At 44.7% G+C, this 18007-nt stretch overlaps 1 protein-coding gene across 2 annotated transcripts in view; it reads right to left on the reverse strand.

Annotated features, from left to right (window-relative positions):
- KCNK10 (potassium two pore domain channel subfamily K member 10) overlaps window positions 1-18007 on the reverse strand; it is a 146805-nt gene that overhangs the window by 94800 nt on the left and 33998 nt on the right. The gene's annotated exons all lie outside the window — the stretch shown is intronic.

Genomic DNA, 18007 nt, shown 5'->3' on the forward strand with positions numbered 1-18007 from the left:
GAGGCCACTTGGTGTAGCTTTGTTCTCTCTTCTGCTCTCAGCCTCCTCCCCTCTGATCCAACCTTCCCCTCACCCCTACCCCAAACCATTCCAAAGATGCCTCAGGGGCCCCTGCTGAAGATCTGAAGACTCCCTCATGCCCCCAGCCTCTTCAGGGCCCCTTCCTGCGCCTTTTCTCCTGATACCTGGGCTTTCCCTGAGGACACTGTGCTGTCAGTGTGACTCTGGGGTAGGGGCTGTTCAGTCTCCCTCGCCCACAACATCAGGGTCACATTGTCCTGGAAAACCAATACCCCATATTCTTGTGTCAAACCCGCAGTTCCTCTGAGACCCCAGCCCTCTGGCTCCTCCACTTCCTACTCTTCCCCGTGGCCATCAGTGGTAGACCTGGCTGCTCCCCCAGTTTCCTGCAGCCTTCTCTCTGGGTCCTGTTTCCCTCCTAAGTGACTTCAGCATCCCACACACAACCCAGCCAAGACCCAAGCCTCCCATTTCCTTGAATTTATCACCATTGCCATCATCTCCATTCCATCTCAACCACTAACTCAGGGCAGGTATCCCAGAAGCAGATCCCGGATGAGAATTTGTTTGTGAGTTATTTATTTAGGAGATCCCTCCAGACAAACCGTGAAGGAGTGGGTGATACAAACTCCTAGGATGGCCAGGCGCAGTGGCTCATGCTTGTCATCCCAGCACTTTGTGAGGCCGAGGCAGGGGATCACCTGAGGTCAGGAGTTTGAGACCAGCCTGGCCAACATGGCGAAGTCCCAGCTCTGCTAAAAATACAAAAAAAAAAAAAAAAAAAAAAAATTAGCCAGGCATAGTGGTGCATGCTTGTAATCTAAGCTACTTGGGAGGCTGAGGCTGGAGAATGGCTTGAACCTAGGAGGTGGAGGTTGGAGTGAGCTGAGATTGTGCCGCTGCACTCCAGCCTGGGCGACAGAGGGAGACTCCATCTCAAAAAACTCCTAGGAACATCCTGAAAATAGGCTCCGGTAGACCAAGGAGAGTCCTCTGAAAAAGGCTGTAGGTACAGGCCAGAAAGAGAGAAGCCCCCAGAAGCTAAAGGACAGGTGCACAGAACAAAACGGATCTGGGTGACCTTGGCACAGCCCCAACAGCTCCACTACAGCTGAGTCTCCCTATGGCCACACCCTAAACCTTGTTACCACAAGAACTGTCTCAATACTCAGTTGAAGCGATTACTGCTACGGTCTGAATTTTTGTGTCCCCCAAAATTCACACACTGAAATCTAACCCTCAATGTGACGGGATTAGGAGGTGGGGGCTTTGGGGGGTGATTAGATGGTGAGGGCTGAGCCCTCATGAATTGGATTCATGCCCTTATAAAAGAGAACCCAGAGAGATCTCTTGGTCCTTCCACCGAGTGAGGACACAGCAGGAAGACAGCTGTCTGTCAATCAGGTACCAGATCCTTGCCAGACACTGAATCTGCCTTGATATCTTGATCTTCCCAGCCTCCAGAACCATGAGAAATAAATTTCTGTTGTGCAAAAGCTACTCAGTCTATGGTATTTCATTATAGTAGCCCTAAGGCACACTAAGACATTGACTAGATCATCCTCTCTTTCCAGCTTGCTACCCTCATCGCTCCCACATCATACCCTGCCTCTACTTTCTCCTGTCATCCTACCCTCCCTGTGTTCTCTTTCTCTTCTCCACCCAACTTGGATCCCATATTCAACACTGCTCTTTAGCTAACAGACTCAACTTCCTCCCCTTTTGTCTTTTCCTGGAGCTACCTGGAAATATCCCTGTATAATATTCCTTCTCTCTGCTCAGAGTCACAGGCTGCTGAACACTGCTACAGAAACCAGGCAGCCTCACAGGTCGCTATCACTCTCAGTCCACCATTTCCTTCTTCAAATGGCCCTTGATGCCCCATGGCAGTCCTGCCCTCTTTCTCTGCTCAGCTACAGCTGTCATGATAAATGTCATGAAGACATCCAAGTGTACCTCCCTATAAACAAACCTGAGATCATATACAGAAATCCTACTCTGCAAGATAGACGTGTACTTTACAAAAGGATTTTCCATCGAAAGCATTTAAACAGCACAGTCTGTGTGCATCAAAAGTGGGGTATCATATGTATATTTTTAAACCATTTCTGTAGAATGAGGTGTGCCCTCACTGTTGCCTTTCCCCAGGTCACTGACATGGAGGCTCCACACCCCAACACACTGCTTTGCAAGCAGCCTCAGCCATCTCCATTTGTCAGTGTAGCTGCTCAGTGCTCCTGGTTCATTTCAAAGTCACCAAAACCTCCTATACAAAACTTAAATGGAAAAAAAAAAAACATTTGGATGGTTATTCCTTCACTGTGCCTACTAAGTCAAAAAAAAATAAACAAGATCCATCAAAGGGAGAAAACAGTTTCTACAAAATACCCTACCAAACAGCTTTGCATTTCAGCATCACCCTCTGAGTAATTTCCTCTGAAGTGGCTCCTCTAATGCATATCAGTGCTGCTGACATCAGCAACATTTCTGTGATTTACTGCAAATGCATCTATCAGAGGCTGGGAGTGGGCGCAGGTTAGAGGAAGAGAGAAACCTAAAAGGGAAAAGGATACCCACATTATTCCTCATGGGGCTAGGGAGACAGCAATGTAGAAAACCTACAAATCCATTCATCTGAAGACTGGGAAGTGTTTTTGAAATATTCATAACTGATTAGTGAAGTCTTCGAGGAATCAACAGACTTACTTAAAAACTGGGAAAGTCAATTATCTTCAATAAAACAGCTCAGTCTCTTCCCAGTAACACCTAGGTTTGGGGAATAAAATGTGGCCGAAGGAAGGCAAGAGTCAGTGCTGCCAGAGAAATCTATGGCTGAATCAACATTCTGAGGAATTTTCCATACCAGAGAGCCACTGAGCATAGGCTGAACCTGCCAGCTAGACCAACACCTCACTCCACTCCCCAAAATACCTTTTCTCATTAGCAATTTCTCCTGCTAGAGGATAAGTTCCTCTAGATGCCCCTTGAAGGTGGACCTTTTCCTCTCTAAATTTTCCATGGTCCCAATCCCAGTGCACAGTGTATAAAAAGGGCTCGATTAATGTTCATGGCATGAATTCAACAAATGTTTGCTGAGGGCCTATTGTGCTTCAGGCATCGGAGGCACCAAGGTGATGAGCAGAATCCCTGCTGTCCAGGAATGGATGAGTTGGGTGAGAGCTGGCGGTATCTTCACCTCCACCCCTATGGAATTCAGAAGAAGCCCAGCACTCAGGGGCTAGAGAAGGCACCCAAAATCTCAGAGAGCAAACAGACCCTTACATGGATCATATAGAAGTCTGCTAAGCTGCTATACTGGTACAGAAGTTGGCTTCAGTATCATTTTCAAGGATTAATCCCGTCTTCCCCATATGAGAAGTGTCCCTTCTCCTAGACCCTCAGAATCAAATCTATTACCAAAGCAGTCTCTATGTGATGGGTTAGTCACAATTAAGCAGCCACTGTGAACATATTTCCATTCAAGGAACTCCCCAGTTATAAAATTGTGGGACACTATTCGAAAATCTAAGACAAATTGGATATTGAATGCTGGCACATAGTAGAGTTCCCTAAATTAATGTGGAATGAAAGTACCACATGCAAGCTTGCCATGTGAGTGAATGCTAAGTGTTGATGCAAGATCTTCGTAAACAGCAAAGCCTGCAGGAAAACACAAGAGAAAAACCGTTTTCCTAGATAGTTCAATCTAACCTTTGAGTTCAGGTGTCAGCCAAGGAACAGAATCTTCAGCCAAGGAACAGAATTTAATTCATCAATACACTTTGGATTCAACCCATACTTAATTGCTTGGAAATTGCCTCTGAAGAGGTCACTGGAAACAGTCTTGTGGTTATGTTTCCTCCACCTCACAGAAAGGAGGAGAAACAAAGGCATAAAAACTGGTATAACCAATTAAAGTAGCAGATGATCAGCCTGGCTGTCTTGGAATTTGCAGGCATGTCTGAGAGTTGTCTGCCATTGGGAGATTTTTAATGGCCCCTCAGAAACCAGTTGCACTTGGGCTGCCATGAGAGGTGCCAAACTCACAGGCACATGGAGTAAGTACTTGGTTCCAAAAGCATGCCCAAAAGTGCCACGCCACTGAATTCATTGAGAACCTCCCATGAGGCCCATTTCATGGTGTTCTTTAAGTTGTACCACAGGTACCAGGGTAGTTCATTTCTTTCCATTCAGTTATCAACAGCTGCTAATTTTCCCCAAATGCAATTTCTATCAAACCAGCATTTGATGAGGTCCTACTATGGGCTCAGCATCCTATGCTCTAAGGGAACTTAGTAGAAGCATTAACCATCACCAGACATAATTTCCTTTGAGGTCAGATTTTCTTATTGACCCTTGTGGCTAAACCTAGAAATAGACTGCATCGCATGGTAGCTTCTACATGGTAGTTTAGTTAAGGGAGAATTGCCAGATACGTGTGTGTGTGTGTGTGTGTGTGTGTGTGTGTGTGTGTGTGTGTGTTACAATGCACATAACATAAAATTCCCTATTCTAGCCATTTTAAAGGGTGCAATTCAATGTGTGCTACCAGATTCAGGAAACAAAAATACAGGACACCCAGTGAAATTTGAATTGCAGATAAACAATAGCAACAAAATTTTTAAAGGGTAAGTATATCCCATGCAATATTTGGGATATACTTATACTTTTTTAAAAAGTTTTCTGAAATTCAAATTTAACTGGATATCTGGTATTTTATCTGCCAGCTCTAAGGTAAGGGACAGGAGGAGCACAACCATCCCCTACCCAACATAATTGGCCAAAAACATAGTGAAGTACTAAACTGGGTGATATGATTTGGCTGTGTTCCCACCCAAGTCTCAACTTGAACTGTATCTCCCAGAATTCCCATGTGTTGTGGGAGGAACCCAGGGGGAGGTAATTGAATCATGGGGGCCAGTCTTTCCCATGATATTCTCATGATAACGAATAAGTCTCATGAGATCTGATGGGTTTATCAGGGGTTTCCACTTTTGCTTCTTCCTCATTTTCTCTTGCTGCTGCCATGTAAGAAGTGCCTTTCACCTCCCACCATGATTCTGGGGCCTCCCCAGCCATGCGGAACTGTAAGTCCAATTAAACCTCTCCTTCCCGGTCTTGGTTATGTCTTTATCAGCAGCGTGAAAATGGACTAATACACTGGGTGATACCCATCCTAAAACTGCATAAAATCTACTGGTCTTCCTCTCCTGTCACTCCACTGAAACTGCTCTGCTAACGATCTCTGCTACCGACACAGGGGACACCAACACGGCCACACATCACTTGTCCTCTCAGCAATATTCTGCACAGGAGAACTTGCTCCTTCTTAAAAAGCTCCCTGCTTACAGCCTCTGTGATATCACACTCTCAAGGCTTTCCTCCACCCTCTCTCGTTGGGTCTTTTTAAATCCACTCTGCAGATACTTCTTCTTCTGCCTAAACACTGGACTTCCGTGGGTTATTTTCTGCACCCCTTTTGTTCTATATCCTCTCCCTGTGTAATCCCTACCTACATGCTGATGGCTCCCAGGTCTATACACCCAGACCCAAAATGTCCTTGGAACTCCAGCTTCACACACCCAATTGCCTACTATTGAGTTTCATTTGGATACCTCAGGTGTGTCTCATGCTTAGTAAGTGAAAATTGCGCTTGTTAGTTGACCCAACCAAAAAAGGAAGTCTCACCTCCCCGAATGATAGTAATGTTCACCCAAACCGTTCAAGCCAAATAGGCAGGATCCTGAGAGGCAGCCTTACTTTCTGTTCTCTTGTCCTGTCCCTCCCCAATAGTTCTCTCATTTCTACCGCCAAAATAGACCTGCAAACAATCCACTTCCCTCTGTCCCCCTGGCCCTCCATCCAGGCTACCTGCTCCCTACTAGGCTCCAGCCATAGCCTTCTCTCAGGTCTCCCCACTTTCCACTCTCACCCACTCCCACAGAGCAGTCAGAAAAATCTTTTCGAAACATAAATCCTCTCACATTCCTCCTTGCTCAAACTTTTCAGTGCCTCTCATCACTGCATCTAGAATAAAATGCAAGCCCCTTATCATGGCTTCCAAGGTGCTCAAACTCAGTGCCTCTCATCGTTGCATCTAGAATAAAATGCAAGCCCCTTATCATGGCTTCCAAGGTCTGACAGTAAAGCCTCTGTCCCCTCTCTAATTTCATCTCACAACATGCCCCTTTTCCCTCTGGACTCCAGTTTCCATTCAGTTTCCACTCGGTTACCACTCAGTTTCTTTCTGCCTGGAAGGCCTGTCCCCCATTCTTCCACGGCTGGCTCCTTCCCATTCTTTGGGTCTCAGTTTAAATGTTACCATGTCAGAGAGGTATCTTCTGACTACTCTAAGTAGCCTAGGATAGTTCATTTTATGTGACAACTTGACTGTGTCAGAGGATGCTTAGATATTTGGTCAAACATTATTCTGGGTACTTCTGTGAGGGTGCTTTCTGATGGGATTCATATTTAAGTTAGCAGAGTGAGTAAAGCAGATTTCTCCCACGACATAGGTGGTCCACATCCTATCGGTTGGAGGCCTGAATAGAACAAAATGGCTGACCTTCCCCTGAGTAAGAGAGAATTCTTCCTGCCTTTGGACCTGAACTGAAATATCGGCTTTTCAGGGGAATTATACCATTGGCTTTCCTGGTTCTCAGGCCTTCAGACTTGCACTGGAACTAAACTATCAGCTCTCCTGGGTCGCCAGCTTGCTGACTCACCTGCAGATCTTGGGACCTGTCCATAATTGTGTGAGTCAATTTCTTAAAATAAATAAATCTCTCTCTCTCTCTCCATATATATATATATATATATATATACACATACACACACACACATACATATGTACATATATACATATATCTCTCATATAGATATATATATACACAAGATACATTTGTGTGTGTGTGTGTGTGTGTGTGTTTGTATCCTATTGGTTCTGTTTCTCTAGAGTACCCCCACTAATACATAGGTCCTCCCCATTATTCTCTATCACAGCAAGTATGATTGTAGTTATATTATTTGTTTCTTTACTATTGATGAACCATCATCCCCAACACCTTCCCCACTAGATTATCAACTCCCTGAGGGCAGAAACCCTGCTCATTTGGTTCACTCTTATATACCCAGTACCTAGTATGGTGTCCGGCATTGGAGGGCATTTAATAAATACTTTGAATGCATGAATGAAATCAAAGAAGAAGATGTTTGTTATATAGTAATTATACTGTATGAAAAAACTAATAGTTATTTACTTAAAAAGGAATCATAGATATCAACTAGTCCAACCACCTCAACCAGAGGTTGTAAATAACTTGCCCAAGGCAAATGCTGGAACCAGGATATAAGCCCAGCATGCATCCAGCTCTAAAATCCACGCTCTATCAAGACATCCTGCCACCTTCAAGTTCTGTTACAAGAGGTTCTCTGGAAGAGAAGCTCAGTTCATGATTTTGTATTAATTTGCAAATTTAGCTTGAGTTTCTCAATTTGATGCTAATAGTCCTTTGATAATTCCAAATCTCAATATTTGGCATTCAGGACTGCATTTAGCTCAGCAGGAGCAGAGAGCGGATAGCCATGCCATACCTCAAGGCCCAAAGCTGAGGCTTAGAAGACACCTATTTTTAGGGAATATCCTGGAACAAATCAGCAAACTAAGCCAATTAGCTACTGGCATGAAGGGAACTACATCTACCCCCATGGTCCTCCATTTCAGCACAATTGCACACTGTCTCAAACTAGCTACTTTTTTATTCCTAGGAACCCTCCAAAGATTGCAGAAGAAATGCCCTAAACTAAAAGCAATGGAGGTACAGAAAGGCACCACCTTGAAAATTACAGCATGTAATACCTTCTTATTCCTAGTACTTTGAGGCTTGGTATCAAGCTCTCCCATGCACAAAAATCAACAGAGGCTGGAATCCACGACCTCCTGACAGTGCTTCCGCATAGACAATTCCAGAAGACACCATTCACAGTCGCATAGTGCACAACCTGTGCAGACATACATTGTACCCCTACCTCTTACAACCTGCTTCAGCACTATGTCAAACTGTGGTCTCTCTGCAATTTAGACATGAGCTAGAAATGTCCTTGCACCAGAAAATTCACATTTCTTTTCATCACAAGTAAACAACTGCTGTATGCATCTATTAAACTCCACTGTCTACTAAAGAAGAGAGTGATTATCACACTTTAAGGGTTTTTTTAAATCACTTTCCATCAGGAAAACTTGATGTGGAAAAGGAAAACTGGGAACAAAGATCACGATATGATCACTCTTTCTGGGACACATTTATGTAAAAAATCAGTCAAGAAAACCCAAGAGATATAAGATCTAAATCAAACTGAACTTTTAAACAGTGGAATAAACTCTTTCTCTTTTTTCTTTGACTTTTAGTTTTATGGATTTGTGCTTACATGGGCACTTTAGAGGTTATCTTCCACAGTAGATGGTAATACAGATTTGCCGGTAGAAAAGACTTTAACTAGTGACTGAGACCTTGAGCCTGAAGTTAGAATAATGATACCGATACAGCTTACAGGCCAAATCTTTAAACTAAAAATATCCAACAGCAATGTGGAATATGTCAGAGGTGTGGGTTTCAAAAGTTTACATTTTAAGTGGAAATTCAATTGAATTAAACAAAATTCAAACTTTAAGCAGAAAATGTAAACACAGATATAAAATTCCATTTGAAGGAAGGGGCTCACGCCTGTAATCCCAGTACTTTGGGAGGCCAAGGCAGGTGGATCACGAGGTCAAGAGATCGAGACCATCCTGGCCAACATGGTGAAACCCCGTCTCTACCAAAAATACAAAAAAAAATTAGCCAGGCATGGTGGTGGGCACCTGTAGTCCCAGCTACTCAGGAGGCTGAGGCAGGAGAATTGCTTGAACCAGGGAGGCAGAGGTTGCAGTGAGCTGAGATTGCACCACCACACTCCAGCCTGGTGACAGAGCGAGACTGTCTCAAAAAAAAAAGTCTGAACACCTTTTGGTGTTCCATACTGCTCTTGGATATTGTATTTTGTATGTTACAAATATATTAAATATATATTAAGTATTGCATTATACTATGTATCATATATTAAGTTTAACACAATATAATTTACCTCAAAGCATGCTACTTGGTTGGACTTTGGAGTAAGGGCCTAGAGTCACATGAGCTTTGCTTCTTCTCAACCCCTGCAGCAGGTCCCAAGACTTTTTTAGGACCCAAAAGATTCAGGAACACAATTCAAAACCTCAAGTCTAGAGGAAAGAACACCAAGAAGAAAATCCAGAACCTGGATTCTAGTGCCGGCTTTGCACTAACTAGCCCTGTCACATTGAGCATGCACCTGGGGACTGGGAGACCCTGGGTACAAACGCCAGCCTCCATGACTGCATTAGTCAGGGCTCTCGAGAAAGACAGAACTAATAGGATAGATGTACATATGAAAGGGAATTTATTAAGGAGTATTGACTCACATGATCACAAGGTGTCCCACAATAGGCCATCTGCAAGCTGAGGAGCAAAGAAGACAGCCCAAGTCCCAAAAACTCAAACGTAGGGAAGCCGACAGTGCACTGTGGCCAAAAGTCTGAGAGCCCCTGGCAAACCACTGGTGTAAGTCCAAGAGTCCAAAAGCTAAACAACTTGGAGTCTGATGTTGGAGGGCAGGAAGCATCCAGCACGGGAGAAAGATGAAAGCTGGAAGACTCAGCGAGTCTGCTCATTCCACCTTCTTCTGCCTGCTTTTTTTAGCCGTGCTGGCAGCCAAGGGGATGGTGCCCACCCAGATTAAGGGTGGGTCTTCCTCTCCAGTCCACTGGCTCAAATGTTAATCTCCCCTACAACACCCTCACAGACACACCCAGAAACAATACTTTGCATCCTTAAATCCAATCAAGTTGACAATATTAACCATCAAAATGAGAACCTCTCTACTGTTCACTCTCATCTATAAAATGGGTACGATAAAGTAACTGCTTCACTGTATTGTGCAAATTAAATACATAATACTCACAGGGTGCTTAGAATATTCAATGTCTCTAGTAAGCACTTAAATAACTGCTAGTTGTAATTAATGAAGTCTACAAAATGGAACATGTGTTCCTGAACATTAAATGCAATGCTAACTAAATAAGTTTGCATTAAACTCACTTTGTGTCTTGTTTTAAATAGTGTTTGTTTGTTTGTTTGTTTTTGAGGTGGAGTCTCACTCTGTGGCCCAGGCTGGAGTGCAGTGGCACCATCTTAGTTCACTGCAACCTCTGCCTCCCGGATTCAAGCGACTCTCATGCCTCAGCCTCCCAAGTAGCTGGGATTACAGGCGCGCACCACCATGCCTGGCTAATTTCTGTATTTTTAGTAGAGATGGGGTTTCGCCATGTTGGCCGGGGTAGTCTAGAACTCCTGACCTCAAGTGATCCGCCCACCTCAGCCTCCCAAAGTGCTGGGATTATAGGCCTGAGCCACTGTGCCTGGCCTGAATAAGTTTTATTTTAACTATCATTAGAGGTTGTGAGTGGCCTCTGTCTCTCCAGAGACTAGTTAATTGAAAGCCATCTGTATTTGTCTTCACCTTTTAGCATGCCAACTTCTTGTGGCATCTCAATATGCTCCCACAGCCATTAGCACAGGATCTTGCACAGAGTCAAGATTCAATCAGTGCCCATTAAATGAACGAAAGCTTAGCTGTTCTAAGGAGTCAATCTTTGAATTTTAATACAACTTAGGTTAAGATTACTCAGGTTCTTTAATAAATAAAAGAGATCCTGATTTTAGAGTATGTCCAAATTTAGATGTGTACTGGATCCTTTAAGCCAGACAGGCTCATAAGTGGCCCACAGGTTAAGCCTCCTGGAAGACTGTATTTACCAAAACTAGCTACAACAATCTCTCCTATCCCATATACTCCTTACTATGTGACTTTAATATTCCCCCCGTGAGAACATCGAACCTATGTTCCCTCTCCTTGAATCTGGACAGGCTTGTGACTAAAGCAGAAGTGACACTATGTGACCTCCAAAGCTAAATAATGAAAGACCACACCGCTTCTGCCTGGTTCTTTTGGGATGCTCACTCTTAGGATCCAGCTGCCACACTGTGAGGAAGCTCAAGCTAACCCATGTGGAGAAACACAGTGATCACATACAGATGTTCCAGCCAACAGCCACGCTGAGATCTCAGCCAAGAGCCAGAATCAACCACCAGTCACATGAGCCAAGATACCTCCAGTTGATTTCAGCCCCCTCCCCTAACCCCACAGACACCTGTAGATTTCCCAGGTGAGGCTCATCTTCCCAGGTGAGGCCCCAGACGTTGCAGAATAGAGACAAACCATCGCCTCTGTGTCCTGCATGAATCCCTGAAGCACATTATCTGAGCATAATAAAATGCTTGTTTTATGCCAATAAGTTGGGATGGCTATGCAGCAATCCCAACTTATTGCTGCATCTATATTGTGATAGAGGCATTCATCTATATTGTGATAGAGGAACTGCTCATAAAATGGAAACATGGCAAAAACCAGGACAGAACCCAAGCATCCTGCACACTGACTAATACACAAGTTAAAACAAGATTCTGAAGTAACACTCTTGTTATAACACATTGTATTAGTCTGTTTTGACACTGCTGATAAAGACATACCTGAGACTGGGTAATTAATTTATAAAGAAAAAGAGGCTTAATGGACTCACAGTTCCATGTGGCTGGGAAGTCCTCACAATTATGGCAGAAGGTGAAAGGCACGTCTTTCTTGGCAGCAGGCAAGAGAGAATGAGAATCAAGTGAAAGGGAAAACCCCTTATAAAACCATTAGATTTCATGAGACTTATTCACTACCACGAGAACAGTATGGGGGAACCGCCCCCATGATTCAGTTACTTCCCACCTGGTCCCACCCACAACATGTGAAAATTATGGGAGCTACAATTCAAAATGAGATTTGGATGAGAACACAGCCAAACCTTATCACATGCCCTACTCTTCCATCTATTGAGGTGCACCCTACGGAGAAAATAAAATAGTAACATTAAAATTGCTCATTTATTGTTCATTACAATACCAGGCACTATTCCAAGTGCTTTACATGCATTAACTCATTTAAATGTAAAAATAACTTTACAAGCAAGGTATTATTATTACTCCATTTTACAGATAAGCAAGCAAAGCATAGAACATGCCACTAACAGGCAGGGCCAGGACTTGAACCTTAGCAATCTGCCTCCAGAATGCATAATCTGACACAGGACACTAGATGCTTCTCAAGCCTTACACCCTGTGAAAAACAATACATGTGAAGCAGCTAGCATAGTGTTTGGCATTGTTTCCTTCCTTCCCCAACATGGATGCTACCATCAATTATCATCAATTAGATTGCCACAAGTTCTTTTTTATTATTATTTCTGTAGGTTTTTGGGGAAGAGGTGGTGTTTGGTTACATGACTAAGCTCTTTAGTGGTGACTTGTGAAATTTTGGTGCACCCATCACCCGAGCAGTGTACACTGTACCCAATTTGCTGTCTTTTATCCCTCACTGCCCCCACCCTTTTCACCAAGTCCCCAAAGTCCAATGAGGATGCCTTTGCATCCTCATAGCTTAGCTCCCACTTATAAGTAAGAACACACAATGTTTGGTTTTTCCATTCCTGAGTTACTTCACTTAGAATGTTGGTCTCCAATTCCATCCAGGTTGCTGCAGATGCCATCATTTCATTCCTTTTTATGGCTGAATAGTATTCCATGGTGTGTGTGTGTGTGTGTGTGTGTGTGTGTGTGTGTGTGTGTGTGTGTGTATCACAATTTCTTCATCCACTCATTGATTGATGGGCATTTGGGCTGGTTCCATATTTTTGCAATTGTGAATTGTGTTGCTAGAAACATGCATGTATGAGTATCTTTTTCGTATAATGACTTCTTTTCCTCTAGGTATGCACCCAGGAGTGGGATTGTTGGATCAAATGGTGGTTCTACTTTTAGTTCTTTAAGGAATCTCCACACTGTTTTCCATAGTGGTTGTATTCCCAGCAGCAGTGTAGAAGTGTTCCCTTTTCACCACATCCCCGCCAACATCTATTATTTTTTGATTTTTTTATTATGGCCATTCTTGCAGGGGTAAGGCAGTATCGCTTTGTGGTTTTGATTTGCATCTCCCTTATCATTAGTGATGTTGAGCATTTTTTCATATGTTTGTTGGCCATTTGTATTAGATTGCCACACGTTCTAAAGCAAAAAGTATGCCCCTTCTAAAGCAAAATGTACAGCTCTAACGTTTTGTTCCACTCATTGTTCACTATTTAATTTTTACACTTAGTTGTCCAATTAGCTGCTTGTCCAAGTAGCACATTGAACATGATTCAAAGAGAAATTTTGTTTTCACTCATACACATTCACATCCCAACTCTGCCTCTTCTCCTAGGCTTGTGCATCTCAATTCATGGTACTGCTATTCATCCAGGGCTTGGACAGAAAATCCAGAGTAGTCTATGGCTCCACCCTGCCCTGACACCCACAGCCAGTCCAGCCAACTCTCCCTTCCAAATACATCCTGATTTCATTCCACCACTTCTTTCATTCCCACCTCAACCAGCCCATTAGCCATTGTTGTTTCTGCACAACAGTGTCCTAACCTGCCTGCCAAAATGTAAATTCGATCCCTCCACTGCATGCTGAAAACCTTCCAGAGGGTTCCCACAACTCCCTGAGGAACCTCCAAACTCCTGTCCTTAGATCCCCAAATTCTGGCCATGGCCCACTTCTCCACCTTCATCTCCTACCATCTGTCCCTCAATACCGCCCAGCCACACTGGTCTTCTCATTTGTCCAAGTTAGCTCTAGTCTCAGGGACTGCACGTGTGTTGTTCCCTCAACCTGGAACAGTCTTGCCCAGGGCCTTACAGGGTAGCTCCCTCTCAGTGCTCAATGCTGCCTCCTCAGCGAGGACTTCCTTCCTCACCACCCCACTGCAGAAGGGCCATTCTCCCCTCCAGTCTCTTCCTAGCCCACCACCTGGCTTGATTTTCCTCAAAGCAACTTAGTGCTAGCTGAGATTGTATTCTGTACTGATTTGCTCATTCCCTGTGTGTCTCCCTCATTAGAATATAAACTTCCCATCTAGAATATATGATTCAACCCAGCACCCGGGTTGGTCTCATTATAACACCACTCAGTCTACAGTCCAACCTTCACCCCACCTCTGCCCTCCATGTAAAAATTTCCATTTCCCTAAAGGAAATCCTGGAGAAGATCAAGAGTAACATGGCCTTTAGGATTCAAATGCTGCCTTTTCTTTCTGACTCATCTGAATGTACCTCCTTCTTTGCCTTTTAAAGTCACCAGGTGGTTTTTCTATTAATCATGAAAGAAGAATCTCACTGGGCTTCTTCTCTTTTATTCACACAGTTCCTCAGGCTGAAGCAGGGCCCCATTAGTGTGGTGTAAGTGATCTTGGGGAGAATCCAGTTTGGTGGAATTAATCATGCCCTTACACAGTTTTTTAGATTCACTTGAAGACAAGGCAACATTTGCCCAAGTGCCAGGGCCATGGACTTGCAGCTTTGGGTGATGGCAGGAATGGGAGCAATGTTGCATCAGCCTCCTCTGGGAGCTCTGCCCACTGGCCCTCATCATAGCTGCTTGTGTGATCTGCTCCTCTTAAGCTGGCCAATCTTTAGCTACACACACAGTGAAGAAGAGAGCCTGAGGGTAAACCCACCCATCTTTTAAGGGGGCTGTGATGAATTGTTCAAGCTTAGAATCAGATAGACCTGAGCTCATGTCCTTAGCTCTGTGGCCTTGAGAAAAAATACTTAAGCTCTCTAAGCCTCAGTGTTCTTATCCTTAAAATGGAAATTATACCTTTCCCTTAGTGCCATGGTGAGATTTCAGCAAGATAATTCACTTGAAGTGCCTGGCACAATGCCTGGCACATAGTAAATACTCAGTAAATGTCAGCTACTGTGATTATTACTAAGGGCATCGTGCTTGTGTATCTATTTTGGCATAAGCATTGTGTCTTATTCACCTTGTATGCCCAGCACACAGCAGAGGCACACTGTAGATACTTACAGGACAACTTTTTAAATAATTGGTAGGATCAGCAGGATAATGTTCGGTCCCCCAAAGATGTCCATGTCCTGATCCCTGGAACCTGTGAGCACATTACTTTACTACTTTACACGACAAAGGGATTTTGCTGATGTGATTAAGATCTTGAGATCAGGAGATGATCCTGGATTATCTGGGTGGGTCCAGTGTAATCACAAGGGGGAGCGGGAGGGCCAGAGAGAGGAGGCATGTGAGGACAGATGCAAAGGTTACAGTGGTGCAGCCATGAGCCAAGAAACATGAGCAGCCTTTAGAAGCTGGAAAAGGCAAGGGAAGGATTCTCCCTAAAGCCCCCAGAAGGAAACAGCCCTGTGGACACCTTGATTTTAGCCCCATATGACCCACTTAGGAAGTCTAACATGCAGAATGATATGATAAACTTGTGTTGTTTTAAGCTATGCAGTTTGTGCAACTTGTTATAGCAGCAAGAGGAAACTAATGCAATTAGTAACATGTTCTGGGTGCTTGCTCTGTGCCAGGCACTGTGTACATTTCACATGAATGCCCTCACTAAGCCTCACCGCAGACCAGGATGGAGGTTCTACTCTTGCTCCAGTGTTACAGATGGAGAAATCGAGGCACAGGGAAGTTAGGTACTTTGCCCAAAGCCTCAAAACTTATAACAGATGGAACGAGACTGACGTTCTAAGCTCTCTACTATGTGCAAAGATGAAAATTTACAGATGAAAACCTTTTGAGAAAATTCTTGCCAATGTCCCTATAAGGTACAAAGCCCTAAGCTAACATGGCCACAAGGAAACAACAAAATTATTTCTGCAGGTCATGCAGTTGCTATATTCAGAGCCAGAGGAAGACCTTTTCATTCACAAAAAAAAGGCACCCACCATGCAAGTTGTGCAGAAGCAAAGCATTCACCAGAAGCTTCTAGGTCAGCGTCAGGAAACAGGCAGGGAGGTATTCAAGTGGCAGAACCGTGCTGTGGGAAGAGGCCCACTAGGGCAGCCTGACAGGTGGTCCCTCTGCCGCGGAAAAGGGCAGCACCTGGACTATTTTTATTCCCACACGTCTTGTACAAACTATTGCTTTCACCAGCAGAAAATCATGAAGAAGCCAAACACTGCAGAACTGTAAATAGTGGGAAACTCCTGGTCGTGGAAACCACGGTTGGCTTTCTCAGGCACAGGAGTTTTCTAACTGTGCACAGAAGCCAGCCTTGAGCACCCCGCCCCTCGTTCCCCACCACCCCAATGGAGCACCATGTCACCTGCTTTATATACTGAGCTTCCCTGACAGCTTTCATTCAAAGAGAGGGTTTCTCTGTTACAAGGCAATGTTAAGTGAGCCCTTTCCTGTTGTCTTGGGGTTTATACTGAGATCTCTCAAAACTGAAGACTGAGGATCCATCAATGCAGAGCTTGCATATGATCTCTAAGCCATATAAGAGAATTCGCTGGAGAAAAAGCATTTCTTAGCAGAAAAGAACACATAGCATTGCAGCACTATGGCAAATGAAGGAGCAGAAAGAGAACTGCTCAGAGATCAGAGGGGTTGGCAGAAGGGGGTCTCAGCATCTGGAACCCCAGCTGGGTGCCTGCTGAACTGCATACTTCATAGAATGCACTGCTACAGGTAGGGGCATGAGAGATTTGTCTGAACTCAGGGCTGCCACATTAACTGTGCAATTCTAGGAGAACACATGTGAATGATGCCCTCTGGAGGTGTGCAATGAGACGGCCCTGGGAAAATCAGACATGGGTGCGCAGTGTTTGGCCTGTAATGCAGGCTGAGGAGGGTAGGCAACAGTGGAGTCACGTGCTTTCCCCATATATGGCAGCACAAAGATGCCTAATGGTTTCTCCTGGGCCAAGTAGGCACTGGATGGGGTCAGAAGCTACATCAAAGCCTTCAGAAAAAAGCCTTCCCCAAGAAGTCCATCCACTTGAGAAAAAAAGTTCAGGGTACACTCAAGGCAGAAGCTGAGAGGCCGGGGGTGTCATAAGAGACCAGCCAGGGAGGGCATCATCCATGTCTGTAGAGGAAAGTCTGGGGGTCTTCACAGGGTGGCCAAGAACTCACAAAAGCTGGACACCTGCAAGACAGAGACTATTTCATGACTAGAAAGAACCATAAGAAGCACCAGCTAAGTAAAACACCCTTGCTTTCTAGTCACCTTCTCCCTGCCCCTTGACTGTGGTGGAGCCAAAAGCAGCAAAGCCAGCAGGAAAGGAGTGTGCACAAGGAGGGAAAAGGAACAGCCACGGCCCCCGCCTTCCCTTTCCCATGGCTGATCTGCAGTGTCTCAGGCCAGGCCTGGCCTACAGGGAAAGGAGAGCTTTGTGATTTTGTTTTGTTGTTGTTGCTGTTGTTGTTTGAGATGGAGTCTCCCTCTGTCACCCAGGCTGGAGTGCAATGGCGCGATCTCGGCTCAATATAAACTCTGCCTCCCGGGTTCAAGCGATTCTCCTGCCTCAGCATCCTGAGTATCTGGGATTATAGGCACCCGCCACAATGCCCAGCCAATTTTTTGTATTTTCAGTAGAGACGGGGTTTTACCATTTTGGCCAGGCAGGTCTTGAACTGCCGACCTGAGGTGATGTACCCACCTCGGCCTCCCAGAGTGCTGGGATTACAGGTTTTCTTGTTTGGTTTTGTTTTGGACAGGGACTGGCTCTGTCACCCAGGCTGGGGTGCAGTGGCACGATCTCTGCTCACTGCAAAGCCCTCCCCACTTGTTCAAGTGACTCTTGTGCCTCAGCCTCCCGAGTAGCTGGGACTACAGGCACACACCACCACGCCCAGCTAGTTTTTGTATTTTCAGTAGAGACAGGGTTTCACCAGGCTGGTCTCAAGCTCCTGGGCTCAAGCGATGGCCTGCCTCGGCCTCCCATAAGTGCTGGGATTACAGGAACAAGCCACCT

This window comes from Homo sapiens, chromosome 14 (genome assembly GCF_000001405.40).
Source record: "Homo sapiens chromosome 14, GRCh38.p14 Primary Assembly".
In the NCBI taxonomy this organism is placed as follows: Eukaryota; Metazoa; Chordata; class Mammalia; order Primates; family Hominidae; genus Homo; species Homo sapiens.